The sequence below is a fragment of the Homo sapiens genome, chromosome 10 (genome assembly GCF_000001405.40).
Source record: "Homo sapiens chromosome 10, GRCh38.p14 Primary Assembly".
Lineage (NCBI taxonomy): Eukaryota > Metazoa > Chordata > Mammalia > Primates > Hominidae > Homo > Homo sapiens.
Genome location: NC_000010.11, coordinates 132373107 through 132391217, shown reverse-complemented (window position 1 = coordinate 132391217; position 18111 = coordinate 132373107). Strand labels below are relative to the sequence as shown.

The 18111-nt window shown below is 54.2% G+C and overlaps 1 protein-coding gene across 6 annotated transcripts in view, besides 2 other annotated features; it reads right to left on the bottom strand.

Annotated features, from left to right (window-relative positions):
• Positions 1011–1690: an enhancer, noted in NCBI's record as "H3K27ac-H3K4me1 hESC enhancer chr10:134203032-134203711 (GRCh37/hg19 assembly coordinates)". NCBI's record gives its function as "activates a minimal SCP1, AML or CMV promoter by ChIP-STARR-seq in naive H9 embryonic stem cells {active_cell/tissue: H9 hESC(naive)}" and the evidence as "EXISTENCE:reporter gene assay evidence [ECO:0000049][PMID:30033119]".
• Positions 2998–3117: a silencer, noted in NCBI's record as "silent region_2956". NCBI's record gives its function as "represses an Ori minimal core promoter by ATAC-STARR-seq in GM12878 lymphoblastoid cells {active_cell/tissue: GM12878}" and the evidence as "EXISTENCE:reporter gene assay evidence [ECO:0000049][PMID:35858748]".
• LRRC27 (leucine rich repeat containing 27) overlaps positions 9710–18111 on the bottom strand; it is a 51446-nt gene continuing 43044 nt past the window's right edge. For all 6 annotated transcript variants that reach the window (XM_011540208.2, XM_047425785.1, NM_001143757.2 and 3 more), the window contains one exon: positions 9710–16152. In XM_011540208.2, the coding sequence (XP_011538510.1) occupies positions 15976–16152 (177 nt within the window). In that variant the 3' untranslated portion in view covers positions 9710–15975. The remainder of the gene's footprint in view (positions 16153–18111) is intronic.

The following is an 18111-nucleotide window of genomic DNA, read 5'->3' as shown; positions in this document are numbered from 1 at the left end:
TGGGCAGCTCACACAGACTGGGAAGCACTTAAAAGCTGGAGGCCCCTGGAGCTGCTGGTCCACAGGGAGGTGAAGCTGCACTCCTGCCCTAGGGTCTTCCAGGGTGCCTGCTGTGGAGGTTGCTGGAGACGAGCCCACCACTCTAGGGTCCGGGCACCTGGAACACAGCAGGCACTCGGGCGCTTCCAGTCCAGGAGAGGCACCTCCCAGACGGCAGTCTTCTCTGATTGCTTTCTGGAGTTTGAGTGCGGAGGAGGACGAGGTGAGGGAGGCAGCCGAGCTGTGTCCTGATGCATCTTCCAGAGGCACTCTGGGTGGACGCTGGGCCCCTTGGCCTTGCCAGGCTGGGGTCTCCCTTCACAGAGCCCATGCTTGTGGGCCCCACAGCCAGACTAGCACCTTTCTGTCAACACAGCCATGGACACCATGAGAAACTCCCACAGTTAAACACTGCCCAGAGCCCCAGGCCACCTCCTGGGGTGTCATTTTGTAAGGTACCTCACCAACCTCATGAGAAGTCTTTGCTGTAGGGACTTATTTATTTTAAATGAATCAGGGTCTTGCTCTGTCGTGCAGGCTGGAGTGCAGTGGCACAATCATGGCTCACTGCAGCCTCAAAAACTCCTGGGATTAAGCAATCCTCCCACCTCAGCCTCCTGAGTATCTGGTGGTGTTAGCCACCACATCTGGCAGATTTTTTACTTTTAGTAGAGACGGAATCTCGCCATGTTGCCTAGGCTGGTGTAGAACTCCTGGACTCGAGTGATCCTCCCACTTCAGCCTTCCAAAGTGCTAGGATTATAGGCTTGAGCCACCATGCCCTGCTTGTGGGTTTATTTTTTAATCTGACAGTTTTGCCAAACCTCATACTAGAAGGCGGGGCTTCTGTTTGCTAAAAACACCATGATATTTCATCATTAAACCAGTTGTTATCCACATCTGGGATACTTGGAGAAAACCCTCTCAGGGTATATTCACATTTCACGCCCAGCTTGCAAAGGCACCTTCATGCCTTCTGCTCCCCGACCCTGACCTCCCACTCACCTAACGAGCAGGAGCTAGCCTGTGTCCAGAGCGGGGCGGGCGGTGGGGAGGGGGTAGGTAGGAAAGGTCCTGTGCTGCTCCCTCCAGGCAGAGACTCCTAGGGGAGACAGTGTGGTGGCCTGGGGCCCAGGGGCCTCCCTGCAAACTCTTTCCCCTCAAACCCTCCTCCTGGTGGGTGTGGCTATGCATTTGTCCCGACCCCTCCACATGCAGAACCTGGCATGAGCCCTGGGGCGTGGGGACAGACACGGAGTCCAGGTGACCTCAGGGTTGTCCTGAGCTGAGGTGTAGACCCCAGGCAGACCCACAGACAGAGTGGGGCTCTCCGAGGTGTGGTTGGAGGGCCGAGAGCAGAGCCCTGTGCTGGATCTAGGGAGGCACTGGTGTGTCAGCAGGTGCAGCAGCGTGCAGCTGGGCTGGGCTGCGGGGCTCCTGTCCTTGCCCTCCTCCAGTGGCCAGGAGAGGCCAGGTGTTCGTGCTGTCCCCCACAGGATGCCTGAGGGAGGAGGTGCAGGAAGGAGCAGGATCCCCTGGGCTAGGGCTGGAGGGCGCTGGAGGCTGTCGCCTGCGTTCTCCCAGGTGCACAGAAATGAACACCTTCTGGCTGAGAAAGGCTGACTGGGGGGCCTCTGGGCAGCCTGGGGCCTGAGGGGAGCAGAGCTTGCTGGGAGGGCCTCATTCCTTCCCGGGTGGAGGGAGCAGCCAGGCAGCACCCTGACAGCTCCAGCCCTGGATGGAGAGCAGCCCCCACACTGGGCTCCAGCCCTGAGGGGTCTCCCCAGCCTCCTGACCCCACGGAGGAACTGGTGAGTGTAGTGGGTGCAGGGCCAGCTTCCAACAGTGACAAGGGGGACCTGAGCCCAGCTGCCCCCAAGGCCTGGCCAGCACTTGGGGAAGTCCGGCAGGGTGTCCTTGAGGTCACGTGAACTCCGCTTCTGGCCTCACGCCCCAAGGCCCACGCCGGGTTCTGCGCTGTGTGTCCTGAGACCCGGACCGAGCGCATGGGGCCTGAACGGCACCTTCCCTGGCCGGCTGCCCACGGACGTTTGTGGGCTTGGCCCTCCTGTTTTGGGCTCACTTGGGGTGCAGGACTCAGGGATCCACACAGGAGATGAGCCAGGCTTCCTTGAGGGAGCCAGGAGGGCCGGAGTTTTGGCCGATTGCTTTCTCAGCCTGAGACGTTGCCCTGTAATGCTAACCCTGTTGCCATGGCCTGGCGTGGGACCTCCAGGGCCGGGCAGCTGCTTCCCTCAATGAGAGCCCCCGAGCCCCTGCAGGCGGCTCCGTGGTGCGCCCCCTCACCCCCGCATGAGCCCCCCGCCCCCGCATGAGCCCCCCGCCCCCGTATGAGCCCCCCGCCCCCGCATGAGCCCCCCCGCCCCCCGCATGAGCCCCCGCCCCCGCATGAGCCCCCCGCCCCCCGCATGAGCCCCCCGCCCCCCGCATGAGCCCCCCGCCCCCGCATGAGCCCCCCCGCCCCCGCATGAGCCCCCCGCCCCCGCATGAACCCCCCGCCCCCGCATGAGCCCCCCGCCCCCGCATGAGCCCCCCGCCCCCGCATGAACCCCCCGCCCCCGCATGAGCCCCCCGCCCCCGCATGAGCCCCCCGCCCCCGCATGAGCCCCCCGCCCGCGCACGAATCCCCCCGCCCCCCGCATGAGCCCCCGCCCCCGCATGAGCCCCCGCCCCCCGCATGAGCCCCCGCCCCCGCATGATCCCCCCGCCCCCCGCATGAGCCCCCGCCCCCGCATGAGCCCCCCGCCCCCGCATGAGCCCCCGCCCCCGCATGAGCCCCCCGCCCCCGCATGAGCCCCCCGCCCCCGCATGAGCCCCCCGCCCGCGCACGAATCCCCCCGCCCCCCGCATGAGCCCCCGCCCCCGCATGAGCCCCCGCCCCCCGCATGAGCCCCCCGCCCCCGCATGAGCCCCCCGCCCGCGCACGAATCCCCCCGCCCCCGCATGAGCCCCCCGCCCGCGCACGAATCCCCCCGCCCCCGCATGAGCCCGCGCCACGCCTGGCCTTGGAGCGCCACCTGCAGGTGAAGTCGGTTCACGGGAGGCGGGGCCTGCGTCCTGGGGCCCCAGGGCTGGTGACGCCCATCAGCACTCCTGGGACACCGCCTGTGACCCCCTGAGAGCATCCGCCAACCACATTCACGTTTCTCACGCACTGGCTCCCTGCTGCGGCTGCTGCTCTCTCCAAGCCGTGGGCCTGCGACCACCCCAGACCATCTGCCTTCTGCAGCACAGTTCCTGCCCCTGGGGGTTCTCAGGCCTGGCTCTGGGCTGTCGCCTCCCTTTTCCCTTCCCAAGGCAGCTCGGCAGAAAAATGAGAAGTCCCAGAAGCTCAGGACGCCCTGAGCTGGAAGTCAACATAGACGGTACTCACTCAGTAGCTAAGGGAGGCAAAGAGAACAGCAGAGCAGGAACCAGGGGAGGGGGACTCCACCCAGACATCCCAAATCCACCAGGGGAGGGGGATCCCACCCAGAGACCCCAAATACACCAGATAGAGGAGTACCTCCCACCCAGACACTCCAAATCCACCAAGGAGAGGGGTACGTTCCACCCAGACACCCCAAATCCACCAGAGAGAGGGGCACCTCCAACCCAGACACCCCAAATCCACCAGAGAGAGGGGTACCTGTCACCCAGACGCCCCAAATCCACCAGAGAGAGGGGTATGTCCCACCCAGACACCCCAAATCCACCAGGGAGAGGGACACCTCCAACCCAGACACCCCAGATCCACCAGATAGAGGGGCACCTCCCACCCAGACACCCCAAGTTCACCAGGAAGAGGGGCACCTCCAACCCAGACACCCCAGATCCACCAGATAGAGGGGTACCTCCCACCCAGACACCCCAAATCCACCAGGGAGAGGGGCACTTCCCACCCAGACACCCCAAAGCCACCAGGGAGGGGGGCTTCCGCCCAGACACCACAAATCCACCAGGGAGAGGGTTGCCTCCTGCCCAGACACCTCAAATCCACCAGGGAGAGGGGCACCTCCCACCCAGACACCCCAAATCCACCAGATAGAGGGGTACCTCCCACCCAGACACCCCAAATCCACCAGGGAGAGGGGCACCTCCCACCCAGACACCCCAAATCCACCAGAGAGGGGAGGCTTCCTGCCCAGATACCCCAAGTCCACCAGGGAGGGGGGGCCTCCTGCCCAGATACCTCAAATCCACCAGGGAGTGGGGGCTTCCTGCCCAGACACCCCCAATCCACCAGGGAGGGGGGCTTCCTGCCCAGACACCACAAATCCACCAGGGAGAGGGTTGCCTCCTGCCCAGACACCTCAAATCCACCAGGGAGTGAGGGCTTCCTGCCCAGACATCCCAAATCCACCAGGGAGAGGGGCGCCTCCTGCCCAGACACCTGAAATCTATAAGAGGTTACAGGATCCAGAGAGGCCGCAGGGACTTGCTGGCTGCAGGGCCCCATCAGGAGCAGGGCCACGTTCAGAAGATGGGCTGAGTCACAGGGTGGAGGGTGGGTGCCAGGGCCTCCAGCACCGTTTCCCCACCAGCCTGTAAGCACCTTCCAAGCAGGGGTCTGGGTGGTGGCTTCTGTGCCAGCTCCTCTACCCTGCCCAGCAGCAATTACCCGCCACTGCCATCCGGGAGGCAGGCTCTCCCGCTCCCCTTGAAATGGGGCCTCTCACAGAGTGAGGTCGGGGTTTAGAGGGTGAGAGAGGGCAGATGACCACGGGAAGGGTGATGTGGAAAATGAGGGCATGAAGGTGGCCTCCGGAAGACAGGCAGGAGGACATGGATTCCCATGGCGGGCCCTCCCGGAGAACAAGTGGCCAGCTCATCCCTGCCTCCACCCCGCCTTCCAGCTGCTGCCTCTGCCAGGAGCCCGGTCCTCCCTACGGAATATGCAGCCTCTCCCCAGGGCCCATCCAGCAGCACCTTGTCATGAAAGCTCCTTGACCCACAGGACTTTGATTAGACGGCAATGTTCAGGCTGGGCTGTGCCCAGGGCCTGAGGCCAACACAGGGCGCACTTCTGTGTCACAGCAGAAGCAGTGATTGGTGGCTTCAAGTGAAAGGTGGGCAGCATCTTGGCAGGTTCATACAAACAAAAGGTCTCAGGGGACCCCAATTGGAATCCCCCAGACAAGAGTCGGACAAGGGGGCACCACGTGGTGGGTGCACCTCACTCTTCCTGTCTCCCATGAAGACCCAGCTCCAGGCACCCACACCCCATCCTGGAGATGCCAGGACATGGAGTGGTGCTTGTGCACGTGTTGCCCAGAGGGGCGATGTCCGCAGCACTGGCCAGAGAGCAGGGAGGGCCCTGACGCACCACCCATGGCTGGTAGCCAGGCCTGACCCAAGCCGGGCCTGACCCAAGGAGCCACCAAAGAATCGCCTCCCATCTAAAGGCACCAGTTCCCGAGGGAAGGGTACTTTAGTCAAACAGACCCGTGCCAGAGAGATGGCACCAGCAGCACCAGCCAGGGCCCAAGGGGACCCCAGCACGGCACACCCCACACGAGACTTCTAGAGCCAAGAAATAAAGGGTTTTCCAAGGACACATCAGCAAATGAACCGACAGAGAGGATGCGAATGTTGGCATCCAAAGGAAAAGTGTGAAAGAGGAAGTAGAAAAAAGTCCACAAATACTGAGCAAAAGGAAGGAAATGGAAAGAGTGTGGCTCGGGGACACAGCCAGAGCTGAACAATCCATCAAAGGGGCCCCTGAATGACAGAGGGAGCAGGTGGAGGAGAGGCCGCTATTTTTGAAAGAACAGAAGCAAACAGCTTTCCTGAAATGGAGGAAGAGCTGCACCCACAGCCCAGGGGCTCCTGACGTCCCGGTGTAGCTGAAGAGAAAGACCTGAACTCAAAGGCTGGTGAGTATACCATGGCCTCCAGACAGACAGGAGATGCCTCTACAGAATCCTGCTGACCCAGGCTGCGCCTCCACAAGTCTGGGAGCCAGAAGACAGAACAATAACATCGACTCAGAGAGACAAGGATGAGACTCAGCACTTCCGGATCCAGCCCAGGACAACTCACAGCATCCACGCACAGGGCAGGAGGCAGGCTGTGGTCGCTGCCTGTCATTCTACAGAGACCTGGGCTGCCCTGGGACTCACCTTCCCCAGGAGAATACGGAGGAACTGGGGCATGCCAGGATAGGCCCAAGCCTTTGGAAGGCCTGGACACTCCCACTCTGCACTTTTAGAGCCCTGAGCCTCCATGGAGGAAGGCCAGGCACCCTGCTAGAGACCCCAGGGAGGGACCATGGGAGCCAGCGACGTCCTGAGAAAGGTAGTTCCAGTGATCCCAGCATCCCATCTGAGACCAACCTTCCAGGCCACCTGGCCAGAGCGCCAGGTGTGTGAGGGTGCCGTCCTGCACGTCTCAGCTCAGCCCGGCCATCAGATCGCTGGTGCCCCCACGGACAGCCTGAGGACGGGAGAGCCGCCCTGCTGAGCTCGGTCAACCCAAAGCATTCTGAGATCAGGGGGAGGCTGCTGTTTTCAACCACTAAGTGGTCTGTCACAGCAACAGATAACTGAGACGGTGGAGAGAAACAGGACATCAGGACTTCTAAAGGCCTCAGCCGAGGCAGGGGAGAAGAAAAGGAAGGGAAGAGAAAGCCCAATTTTCAAAAATTAAGAGAGAAATATCTGTCTGATATGAGAGAAAGTGGGGGAATGGAAGAGCATAGAGGGACTGCAGGTTCCCAAGAACAATGGAATGAAGAGACTTGATCAAAACAAAGATGGAGGGAATGCAAGCAAGTGTGTGGTTACCACATTACATGTGAATAACCTGGAATTTTCTATCAGCTGTATTTTTTAACACAACCTAACAGGCTTGGAGTTTTTCCTGTACACTGTTTTAAGAAGCATAATTAAAGCAGAGTGATTCTTTTAAAAAGATGGCAGTGAATGAAGTGCGACTTCTGGGCCAGGTGAGCGATGACCTCCTGCTCTTGTAGCCACCAGGGAAGGCCAGACGCAGCAGTCAGAGGAGACGCAGGAGTCACGGGGTGCGTGTGAGGCTGCGAGCCAGGGGCAGCCCTGGAGGGCCTCGAGGGGGACTGGAGCTGCTGCATCCCGGCCTGCCCAGGCTGAGGCCCAGGGCGTCACAGACAGGAAGCAGGGCTGCTGGAGGCCCTGGGGCAGGGTCTAGGGCATCAGAGGCACGGCTGGTCCCCCAGACTATTTTCAGGGTCTGGTACCAGCACAGGAAGCTGAGAGGCTGTTCTGGAGACAGGGTGAAATCTCGGGTTCACAGCAAGCCCAGGACAGGTCTCACCCACCAGCCTGCCAAAGGCAGAGGCTGACCAGGAGTAACTGAAGCTGCGACCCAGTCTCCACCCAGCGCAAGCCCTGCCGGGATGAAGGTGATAAAACCTGTCCCCATTTATGTGCTTCACAGAGGAAAGGGCCAGTCCTCTCACGGAAACCGGCATTGTCCTTAGTCTCTGTGGTTTGTTTACAGAGTTGACCCTTGAACAACGTGGGGTTTACGGCGCGCTGATGCCCCACGCAGCTGAAAATCCACATATTGCTTCTGACGTCCCCAAAATGGAACTACTAATAGGCTACCATTGACGGGAAGCCTTCCTGGTAACATTAACGTTCAATTAGCGCATATTTTGTATGTTATATTACATATTGTAGTCTTACAGTAAGACAGAAAATCATCAGGAAGAGAAAATCTATTTACTACTCATTAAGTGGAAGTGGATCCTCATAAAGCCTTTGTCCTCCCCCTCTTCAGGTTGTGGACGGAGGAGGAGGAGCTGGTCCTGCAGTCTCAGGGGTGGCAGAGGCAGAAGTGGGGGAGGAGGCAGGGGAGGCAGGGGAGGCAGGCACACTCGGTGTAACGTGACGGACATACATGTAATTTCTGCCTGACGTTGCTCTTTCATTTCTCTAAACTTTCTGTGCGGTCCCAATCCTCCTTCCAGCGCTGGCTTTAGTTTCCATGCCTGCATCATAGAAGGGCCCATGTCCTGACAGAGGGCAAAGGCAGCTTGAATGACAGGAATGCTCCTGCCAGGGTCCCGGGTCACCTTCTTTCCCAGCACTGCTTCCTCTACGTCTTTCTCCTCCTCGTGGCCTGGTTTGGAAACACTCATCTCCCTCAGTCTCTCCTGTTCATTGCTGTGGTGCAGCGTCTATTAGCTCTTGAATTTCTCCAAGGCCTGTATCTGGAAACTCTTCACCCTCATCTTTTTTGCTATCTCCACAATTTCTTTAATTGATATATAATAAATGTACATATTTTGGGGGCACATGTGATAATGTGATACACTCGTATAACGTGTGAAGATCAAGTAAGGGTAACTGGGATGCCCATCAACCTATTTCTTCTCTTTCTGCTAGGAACATTGAATGACTCTCTTCTAGCTATGTCGAAATGTGCAACTGACTAACGTTAGGTAGTCACCCTATTGATCTATTGAACGCCAGGTCTTATTTCCTCCATCTCACTGTGCATTTCCACTCATTAGTCACCCCCTGCACTCCCCACTTCCTGGCCTCTGGTCACCACCAGTCTGCTCTTATCTTCGTGAGATCCACTTTTTTAGCCCCCAAGAGTGAGAACAAGCGATGCTTGTTTTTCTGTGCCTGGCTTACTGCAAGTAACATAATGGCCTCCATTCCATCCAGGTGGTGGCAAGAGATGGGATTCCATTCCTTTTCCATCATTTCCGTAATTGGCTGCCATCAATGCTGGGAAGTCGTACACAACATCTGGACGCGGTTTTCCCCAGCAAGAATGTGCCATTTCAGGCTTCGTGGCTTTCCCAGCCTTGCTGCCAACCATGACGGCACGTCTAGTGTGTAATCCCTCAGCCTTTCATGGTGTTCTCCCCTGAGGTTCTCTTCGCCAGCACTGACACTTCTGTCCATACAGTGCCACATGCAATGAGGCTTCCAGGTCCCTACGGCCTCTGGGCCAGAGGCTGCATTGGAGACATATTTGGGGGCAAGTGGGCTCCTTTGACACCTTCAGTGTTGAACTCATGGGGTTCTGGGTGGCCAAGAGGCATTGTCCAATACCAGAACTTTAAAAGGCAGTCACTTACAGGAAGCAAGGTACTTCCTGATTACAGGGACAAAGCATCGATGAAATCAACCCAGAAAAGAGGTTCTTGTCCAGCCTTCTTGTACAACCAAGGAGAAGATGGTGTTTTTCTTTTCCTTTTAAGCTCAGCGGTTAGCAGCTTTCTAGATAAGGGCAGTCCTGATCATAATCTGACTGTGTTTGCACAGAACAGCAGAGCTGGCCTCTCCCCTCCTGCCCTAAATTCTGGTACTTGCTTGTCTTCCTAATTCATGCCTGTGGCATTTTTTTTTTTTTTTTCAGAATAGGGGACTTATGTCTGCATTAAAAACATGTTCAGGCAGATATCCTTTCTCCTCTTTCTCCTCAGTGACTTTCTTCATGGTTTCCGTATCCAGGAACTTGTCTGCTGCCCCTTGGCCGACAGAAGCTGCTTCTCCTGTTATCTTGACATTTTTCCAGCCAAGCCTCTTTCTAAAATTATCAAACCATCCTTTGCTGGGATTAGATTCTCCAGCTTCAGTTCCTTCCCCTTCCTTTTGTTTGAAGAGACTACAGGTACACCTTTCTCAGTGTATTAGTAAGTATTCTCTAGAAGGACAGAATAGGATATATATACATATGAAATGGAGTTTATTAAGGAGAACTGAGGCACAGGATCACAGGGTGAAGTCCCACAATAGGCTGTCTGCAAACTGAGGGGCAAGGAAGCCAGTAGTAGCTCAGTCTGAGTCCCCAAACCTCTAAAGGAGGGAAGCCGACAGTGCAGCCTTCAGTCTGTGGCCGAAGGCCCGAGAGCCCCTGGCAAAACACCAGTGTAGGTCCAAGAGTCCAAAAGCTAAAGAACTTGGAGTCTGATGTTCAAGGGCAGGAAGCATCCAGCATGGGAGAGAGATGAAGGCCAGAAGACTCAGCCAGTCAGCTTCAGCCACCTTCTTCTGCCTGCTTTTTCCAGCCATGCTGGCAGCCGACTGGATGGTGCCTGCCCACACTGTGGTGGGTCTTCTCCCAGTCCACTGACTCAAATGTTAATCTCTTCTGGCAACACCCAGAAACAATACTTTACATTCTTCAATCTAATCAAGTTGACATTTAATATGAACCATCACACACAGCAATCCTATACCCACATAAAAGCTGCATTCCCAATACAAGATAAAAAGGTATTTCACAGAAAGTGTTAAGGCTTTTGTGCCTGCTCACAAATTTCCTTATTTTTTTACTATGGTCCTTACGCTGGATTCATTTATCTTGAATTGGTAGGCAACCGCAGCTGTAAACCTCAATCTACGGAACATATCAAGAAATTCAACTTTTTCTTGAAATGTCATGACTTTTCTCTGCTTCTCAGGAGCTCTTTGGCATGACTGGTGGCACTCTATGGGTCCCAAAGTGTTCTTCAAGGTTTACAGTATTGCGCTCAACATGAAAAATACACAAGAACATCCCGATGTCCCCTTTTTTTCAAGTTGGGGTCTCACTCTGTTGCCCAGGCTTGAGTGCAGTGGTGCAATCACAGCTCACTGCAGCCTCGACCTCCTGGGCTCAAGGGATCCTCCTGCCTCAGCCTCCTGAGTAGCTGGGACTGCAGGCGTGTGCCACCATGTCCAGTTAAAACAGATCACTTTTTACCGTGATACACAATGTACTGAAGACATGAACCGCTCGTGCAGAGATTAGCACCACACGATGTTTTAAGCGGATCCTTGACATGCTTGCGCTCACTGCAATAGCAACAGGAGGTGGCTTTGTAATTATTCCAGCAGCACACTGTGGACTGCAGTTAATTTCATGCAGTTATAATTTAATGCTGCATTTTTTTTTTTTTGAGACAGAGTTTTGCTCTTGTTGCCCAGGCTGGAGTGCAATGGCGTGATCTCGGCTCACTGCAACCTCTGCCTTCCGGGTTCAAGTGATTCTCCTGCCTCAGCCTCCCAAGTAGCTGGAGTTACAGGCATGTGCCACCATGCCTGGCTAATTTTTTATTTTTAGTAGTCACGGGGTTTCTCCATGTTGGCCAGGCTGGTCTTGAACTCCTGACCTTAGGTGATCTGCCCACCTCGGCCTCCCAAAGTGCTGGGATTACAGGCGTGAGCCACTGCACTCGGCCAATGCTGCATCTTTACGGCGACATTTCTCTCTACTGTGAATGGTCCATGTATGGTCTGTATATTTTATGCATTCATGACATAACTTTTTCTTTTTTCAGATATTTCTAGGCTATGTGGCTCATCTGCAAAGTTTTTCAAATTGTTGCAAATTTCCAAAAATTTTTGCAATATATATTTTTTTAAAAATCCACTTATAAGTGGACCCTTATAATTCAAACTCTTGTTCAAGGGTCAACTTATACAATGCTGGACACTCACTAAAAACTTATTAGAAAAATGTAATATATTATAGAAAAAAGAAGAAAAGAGATATAAAGGAAATGAAAAGATGGAGAATTTCAACAGAGAATCGGCATCCACAAAAAATTACCAGACACCTTAGACCTGAAAAACACAACATCTGAAATTTAAAACTGAAAGAAAACACTTATTAAAAAAAAATCATTATAATGATGATGTAAAAGGATCTAGTGGAAAAGGTGGATGGCATGCACGAGCAGATGTGGAATTCCGGCAGAGATGAGAACGAGAACACGGAGGTGAGAGGAAACTCTGGAGAGGAGCAGGATGGGATCTGAGACCACGCACTCCCCGAGAGCTCGGAGGTGAGAGGAAATGCTGGAGAGGAGCAGGATGGGATCTGACACCACGCACTCCCCGAGAACACGGAGGTGAGAGGAAATGCTGGAGATGAGCAGGATGGCATCCAAGACCACGCACTCCCTGAGAACACGGAGGTGAGAGGAAACTCTGGAGAGGAGCAGGATGGGATCTGAGACCACGCACTCCCCGAGAACACGGAGGTGAGAGGAAACTCTGGAGAGGAGCAGGATGGGATCTGACACCACGCACTCCCCGAGAACACGGAGGTGAGAGGAAATGCTGGAGAGGAGCAGGATGGGATCTGACACCACGCACTCCCCGAGAACACAGAGGTGAGAGGAAATGCTGGAGATGAGCAGGATGGGATCTGACACCACGCACTCCCCGAGAACACGGAGGTGAGAGGAAATGCTGGAGATGAGCAGGATGGCATCCAAGACCACGCACTCCCTGAGAACACGGAGGTGACCGGAAACTCTGGAGAGGAGCAGGATGGGATCTGACACCACGCACTCCCCAAGAACACGGAGGTGAGTGGAAATGCTGGAGAAGAGAAGGATGGCATCTGAGACCATGCACTCCCTGAGGCTCACCAGGAAGCCTGACTCGGCCGAGGAAAGACACGCTGCTCAGGGCCTGGGATGTTTCTTCTGAGTGCAATGGTACAATCGTCTATGTTTGTGTTTTTTTCTCTATCATAAAGCTGCTGTTTTTAATGTTAAAAAACCTCATGGGTTTTTCTGTGGGACACAACAGAAGACAGGATTCGTAAATCTAAAACCACGTAGACAGGAGGCATCTAGCCTGATGTACAGAGAGGAATGAAAAATAGAACACATGACAGAAGAGACGTGCAGGTTACAGCCACACACACTCACATATGCACATACACACGGGCGCACACATGCACACACTCGTACGCACGAATGCATACACACATGTGCACACACACACAAAACTGAAGTCTCAGGGAGAAGAGGGAGAACAGGGGAAAAAATAGTAAAAAAAAAAAAAATGGCTAAGAATTTTCCAAAACTGATGAAAGATGCTAACTCCCAGATTTGAGTTCTGTATATTCCAAGAAAAATACGTAAAAAGAAAATTACATCCAGGCACAGCACAGACTGCTGAAAACCAAAGATAAGGAGAAACAATTTTAAGACAAAGAAAAAAGACCCATTACCTTCAAAGGAGCAACAAATAACAATGAACATTGAATCTTTTTTTTTTTTTTTTGAGACGGAGTCTCGCTCTGTCGCCCAGGCTGGAGTGCAGTGGCGCGATCTCGGCTCACTGCAAGCTCCGTCTCCTGGGTTCACGCCATTCTCCCGCCTCAGCCTCCTGAGTAGCTGCGACTACAGCCACCACGCCCGGCTAATTTTTTGTATTTTTTAGTAGAGACGGGGTTTCACCGTGTTAGCCAGGATGGTCTCGATCTCCTGACCTCGTGATCCACTCGCCTCGGCCTCCCAAAGTGCTGGGATTACAGGCGTGAGCCACAGCACCCGGCCTGAACACTGAATTTTTAACAAAACACATGGGAGCCAGAAGACAGTGGAGCCCATCTTTAAAGTTCTGGGAATGGCAAAAATCATCCACCTAGAATTCTGTCCTGTGCAGAATAAAGGCGAACTAAATTTATTTTCAGACAAACAAAAGCTGAGAGAACTTACGGCCAGTCAAAGCATAACCATGATACAAAGAAATACTTAAAAAAAAGTTATTTAGCTAAATGAAAATCAGCCCTCATTGGAGCATGAAGCTGCAGGAAGGAAGAGCATCGGGATGGGTAAAGTGAAGCAAACACTGATGTCTAGGAACAGCGAGTCAAGACACCGTTGGGGCACACGGTACCTGTGTCTTGCGTGCTTACCTGTGGAAGGGAGGCGGACGAGAGCAACAGCATCAATGGCAGGGAACTGGCAGATGGGAGGGACCTTCTCAGGGTCATTGGCTCATTCAGGAAATGCTAATGAACTCAAGGGCATGTATGAAATCTCTAAGGCAACACCCAAGAGAATAATATTAAAAGATATTACTAAAACTCTAATACAAGAGATATAAATAAAAAAATTGATCACTATCAGAAAGCAGCAAAAGAAGAATAAAGGGAATAAAAACATGAGATGGGCACGGAATCCGCCGTACGCACACGCACCTTAAATGTGAGGGCCAAACACTGTAACTGAAACACAGAACTGGCAGCTAGAGAAAGAAAAGGAGTCCCGAGTATATGATGTCTCTATAAGGTGCGCTTTAAATCCAGTACAGTAGAAGGAGGGAAGAAGATGCATTATGAAAACGCTGACCAAAACAGCAGCAGTGTGCCTGGATTAGTATCAGACAAAATCCACAGAAGGCAAGAAGTGAAAAGGAGAGGCGAAGAGAAATAGTTCATAATAATGACAAGGTCAGTTCGACAGGAAGATAAAACAATCCTAAATTTGTAGGCATCTGACAAAATAGCCCCAAAACACGTATAGCAAAAACTCACATAACTAAGAAGAAAACACATGTTCATGATCATAGCTAGAACTGTTCACAGGCCTCTCTCAGTAACTGAGAAACCAGGCTTAAGTCAGTCAGTAAGGGTACAGGAGCTCTGAGCAACAGGATTAGTCAATGTCACCTGACACACACAAAACAATGTACCCAACAACTCAAAATACATTCTTCTCAAGTGCACAGTCTACATTTACCAAAACATATCCTGCGGCAGGCCGCGGGGCGAGGCTTCACAGTTTCAAAGGACTGGGATCACAACGGACACGCTCTCTGATCAACAACCAGGTGAGCACCTTGGAAGCTGAGCCCCAAGCCCAGTTAAACCTTCAGAGGAGAGCAGCTCAACCCACGGCTGACTCCAGCCTCACGGGAGACCCTGACCAGCAACGCCGGCTGAGCTGCTCCAACGCCTGCCCTCAGGCGTGAGAAATGGCAAACGTCTGCTGCTCCAGCCGCTGGGCCGCAACAGGTCACTGACACCTTTTCTAGCTTCCTGAATGGAAAGCTTAGGTGATAAATTTCACGCCCTTCTTCTCTAATACATGGGTTTGGAAGTGATGCATTTCTCTCTAAGCACCAGTTAAACTCTCGGAAAGTACGAAGTGCAGGGCGCAGAGACCCATGAGACAGAAGACAAACAGCAAATCCAGTGAAGCCAAAACCTGGGGCTTTTGGAAAAGAGGAACAAAATTGATAAATCCATAGCAAGAATGATGAAGAACACCAGGTCAAGAATAAAAGAGGGGACATTATTACGGATCCTAAAGATACTGAAAATAAGAGGAACTTTATGCTGATACATTGCACAACTTGGATGAAATGAGGAAACTCACTGAAACCATATTTACCAAAATTAACACAAAAATAAACAAAGTCTGAATAGTCTCACCTCTGTTAAAGAAATCAAACCAAAGATGTTTTCAAGATCCAAGCAAACACTCAGCACAAGAGACTAAGTCACACAGAATCTACACAGCCTGGGCAGACAGAGCATGAAATACGGCTGATCTAGCATGGGGAGGTCTGCAGACCCTGCCGTGTCCCTGGGGTGGAGTCCACTGAGTGGCAGCCTGAGTGGTAGCAACCAGGAAGGGGTCAAGGCTGAAAGGAGGGCCCCGTAGCTGGGCAGGGAGCAGGGGAAAGGAGGGCCCCCAGGGGAAAGGAGGGCTTGTCACTGGGCAGGGAGCAGGGTAACCACTCCCCCGAAGCCCTTTTTGGCTGTCACCCCTCCCTCCTAGCCAAAGGTGGTGCTGCAGGGACTTCCGGCTTGGCGGGAATCGGGTGACCTGGTCTCCTCTCCCACACTCAAATAACTAAGTGAAGGAAAGCTGTGAGTACTTTTGTAACAAGGGCTCCAGGACAGGAGAGAGGCAAGTGCCTGAGTGTGAGCACTCTGTCACATGGCTTGGCGGGAACCTGCAGGAAGAAGGGAAGGCGAGACCACGTGCTCACAGTGTCCTTTCTTTTAATACGGCTGAAATCTTCCACAGCCTCAGGAGAGGGACGTGGACCTGTCTAAGGAAAACAACAGGCTGCGCGAAATCAGCCCTCAGGGTAACACTGAACCTGGCGCTCTTCCGGCACCACACAGGAGGCGACGCCCGGGAAAGAAGACTGAGCGGCTCCTGTCTGAAGACGTCTCCATCAGTCCAGCCACCTGGTGTCACTGGTATCTGCGAACATTTCCTGATTCTCCATATTTTGTGTTAAAAAATGTATTTTGAGGCTGTGCTGCCGGCAGGCCAAGCGAAAGGTTTCCAGTGAGGGCCGCCCGTCGACGATCTTTGTTCAAGGTTAATCCCAATTTTAGCTTCAATACTTCATCCTGTAGCTCTGTGGCCTTATGGGAGACAAGGAGGGGGAGATGTTAGAAAGGCTGGCAGGACTTAGGGCGTCACCACGTCTCTGGCTCAGATTCCACGTGGGGCCCAGGCCATGTGGGCGTCAGCAGAGCCAGCCCCGCTGCCCCGGGGCCCCTGCAAGCCGCATCACGGCGCGGTCCCCCCTGCAATGGGGCCCAGCAGCCTACTTCCAGCCGGCTCCCAGGCCTTCTACCTCATGAGGACACCACCCTCTGCAGGCACACACATGGCCACTCATCCTGGTGTCCCCACGGCCCCACCCAGGTGTCCTGTGCATCTGCACAGGTCAATGGATGAACAGAGACTCAGGGCATCGTCCTGTGGGCAAAGGGAAGGCTGATGCCACACCCCGGGCAGTGTCTTGGCAAGCATCACCACAGCCAAGACCACACCTTAGAGCCGTAACTGTCCTGGGAAGCAGATGGGGCCACAATTGCCACCCCCACCCCACAGACACAGAAGCTGTGGATCAGGGGTTCCTACAGGAGAAGGAACTTGCTGAGCGTGAAACCAGGGGCAGGCTTTCTGTTCCAAACCTCATGGTCCACGGCCAATCCCCTGGGCAGAACAAAGTGAGGCTGAGGAGGGCACTGCGGGGGGCCCTCAGGTGGATAAACTGAGGAGGGGATCTTCCCGTTCCTGCCCCTCAGGCCCTCTGCAGAGTCCCAACCTCCCCCACTCCAAGCACAGGAGCCCTGGGCCACCCGGCTCCCGTCTCCCTCCCCGGCTTGCCTTGCTGGGGGCACAGGTTGGACACTACCTCCAGTGCAGGTCCCAGGAGACCCCTGCAGCCTCCCCGCCCCATACAGACATAATCACAGCAGGTCCCTGGAGCCACTGCACCCCCTCACCATGCAGCCATATCACAGCAGGTCCCTGGAGCCACTGCACCCCCTCACCATGCAGCCATAATCACAGCAGGTCCCTGGAGCCACTGCACCCCCTCACCATGCAGCCATATCACAACAGGTCCCCGGAGACCCCTGCAGCCTCCCCCGCCCCCATATCGTAACTGTGGGCTAGAGCAGCACTCACGGCTCAGCTCTGCGACTTGGTCAATGTTACTTGTTACTGACCCAGTAAGTAGTCATTGATAACGAATTTTGCTTCCCATAGAAACCTGTATTCCCTGTGGGATTCATAACTGCCTCCTTTTAAAATGTTTGTTTTCTACATCTGTCATTACATCCTCTCAAACTGTAAACCTCTCTCGACATCCTCCTCCACTGGCCAAGTCCTCAGACTGACCTGGTCTCCCTGTGGAGACCCCGCCAGGCTCCTCTCACAGTAGGGGGCGGCCGGGGGCTTCTGGGTCAGCTCCCTTTCTTCTGGAACTCTTACCTTCCTCTCTCAGCATCTACTCCCTTGTTTTGATAGAACAAATTCTACAGTAGCTTCTGGAGAAAGACTCTCTAGATGGGAAGCAGCATTTTGAGTCTTTGCGTATCTGAAAACGTCTTATTGTGTGCTGACCCCTGACCTTGCAATGGGAGTACCGAATCCCGGCGCCTGCTGAGGGCAGTGCCATCACCGCGACCAGCTCCCTCCCAGTGCCTGGTTCTGTGTGATCCTCTCCCCCCGCCCTCCCTGGAATCTCCGTGGGTCCGTCCTGCTCTGGTTCGGGATGCTGAGCCATGGTGCCGGCATGTGTGGGCCCTTCTAGCAGGAAGCACGTTGGTTCCTTTGTGACGAGCCCTCCTGCACCTTCTCCCTCCGTCTGCTCTCGTCTCTCCTGCTGGAACCTGCCGGAACCTGCCGGATGCTTCGCTCTGCTCAGGTCGTCCTCTAACTTCCTTTCCTCTTGTCCCATCTGTTTCCCACCTCCCCTTCCTGGGGGATTTATTCATCTACTAATTTAATTTTTTAAATTTTTTGCCACATATTAAACTTTGCCTTGGGAGTTCTTCTGGGTTACCTGAGTGTTCACTTTCTACAAC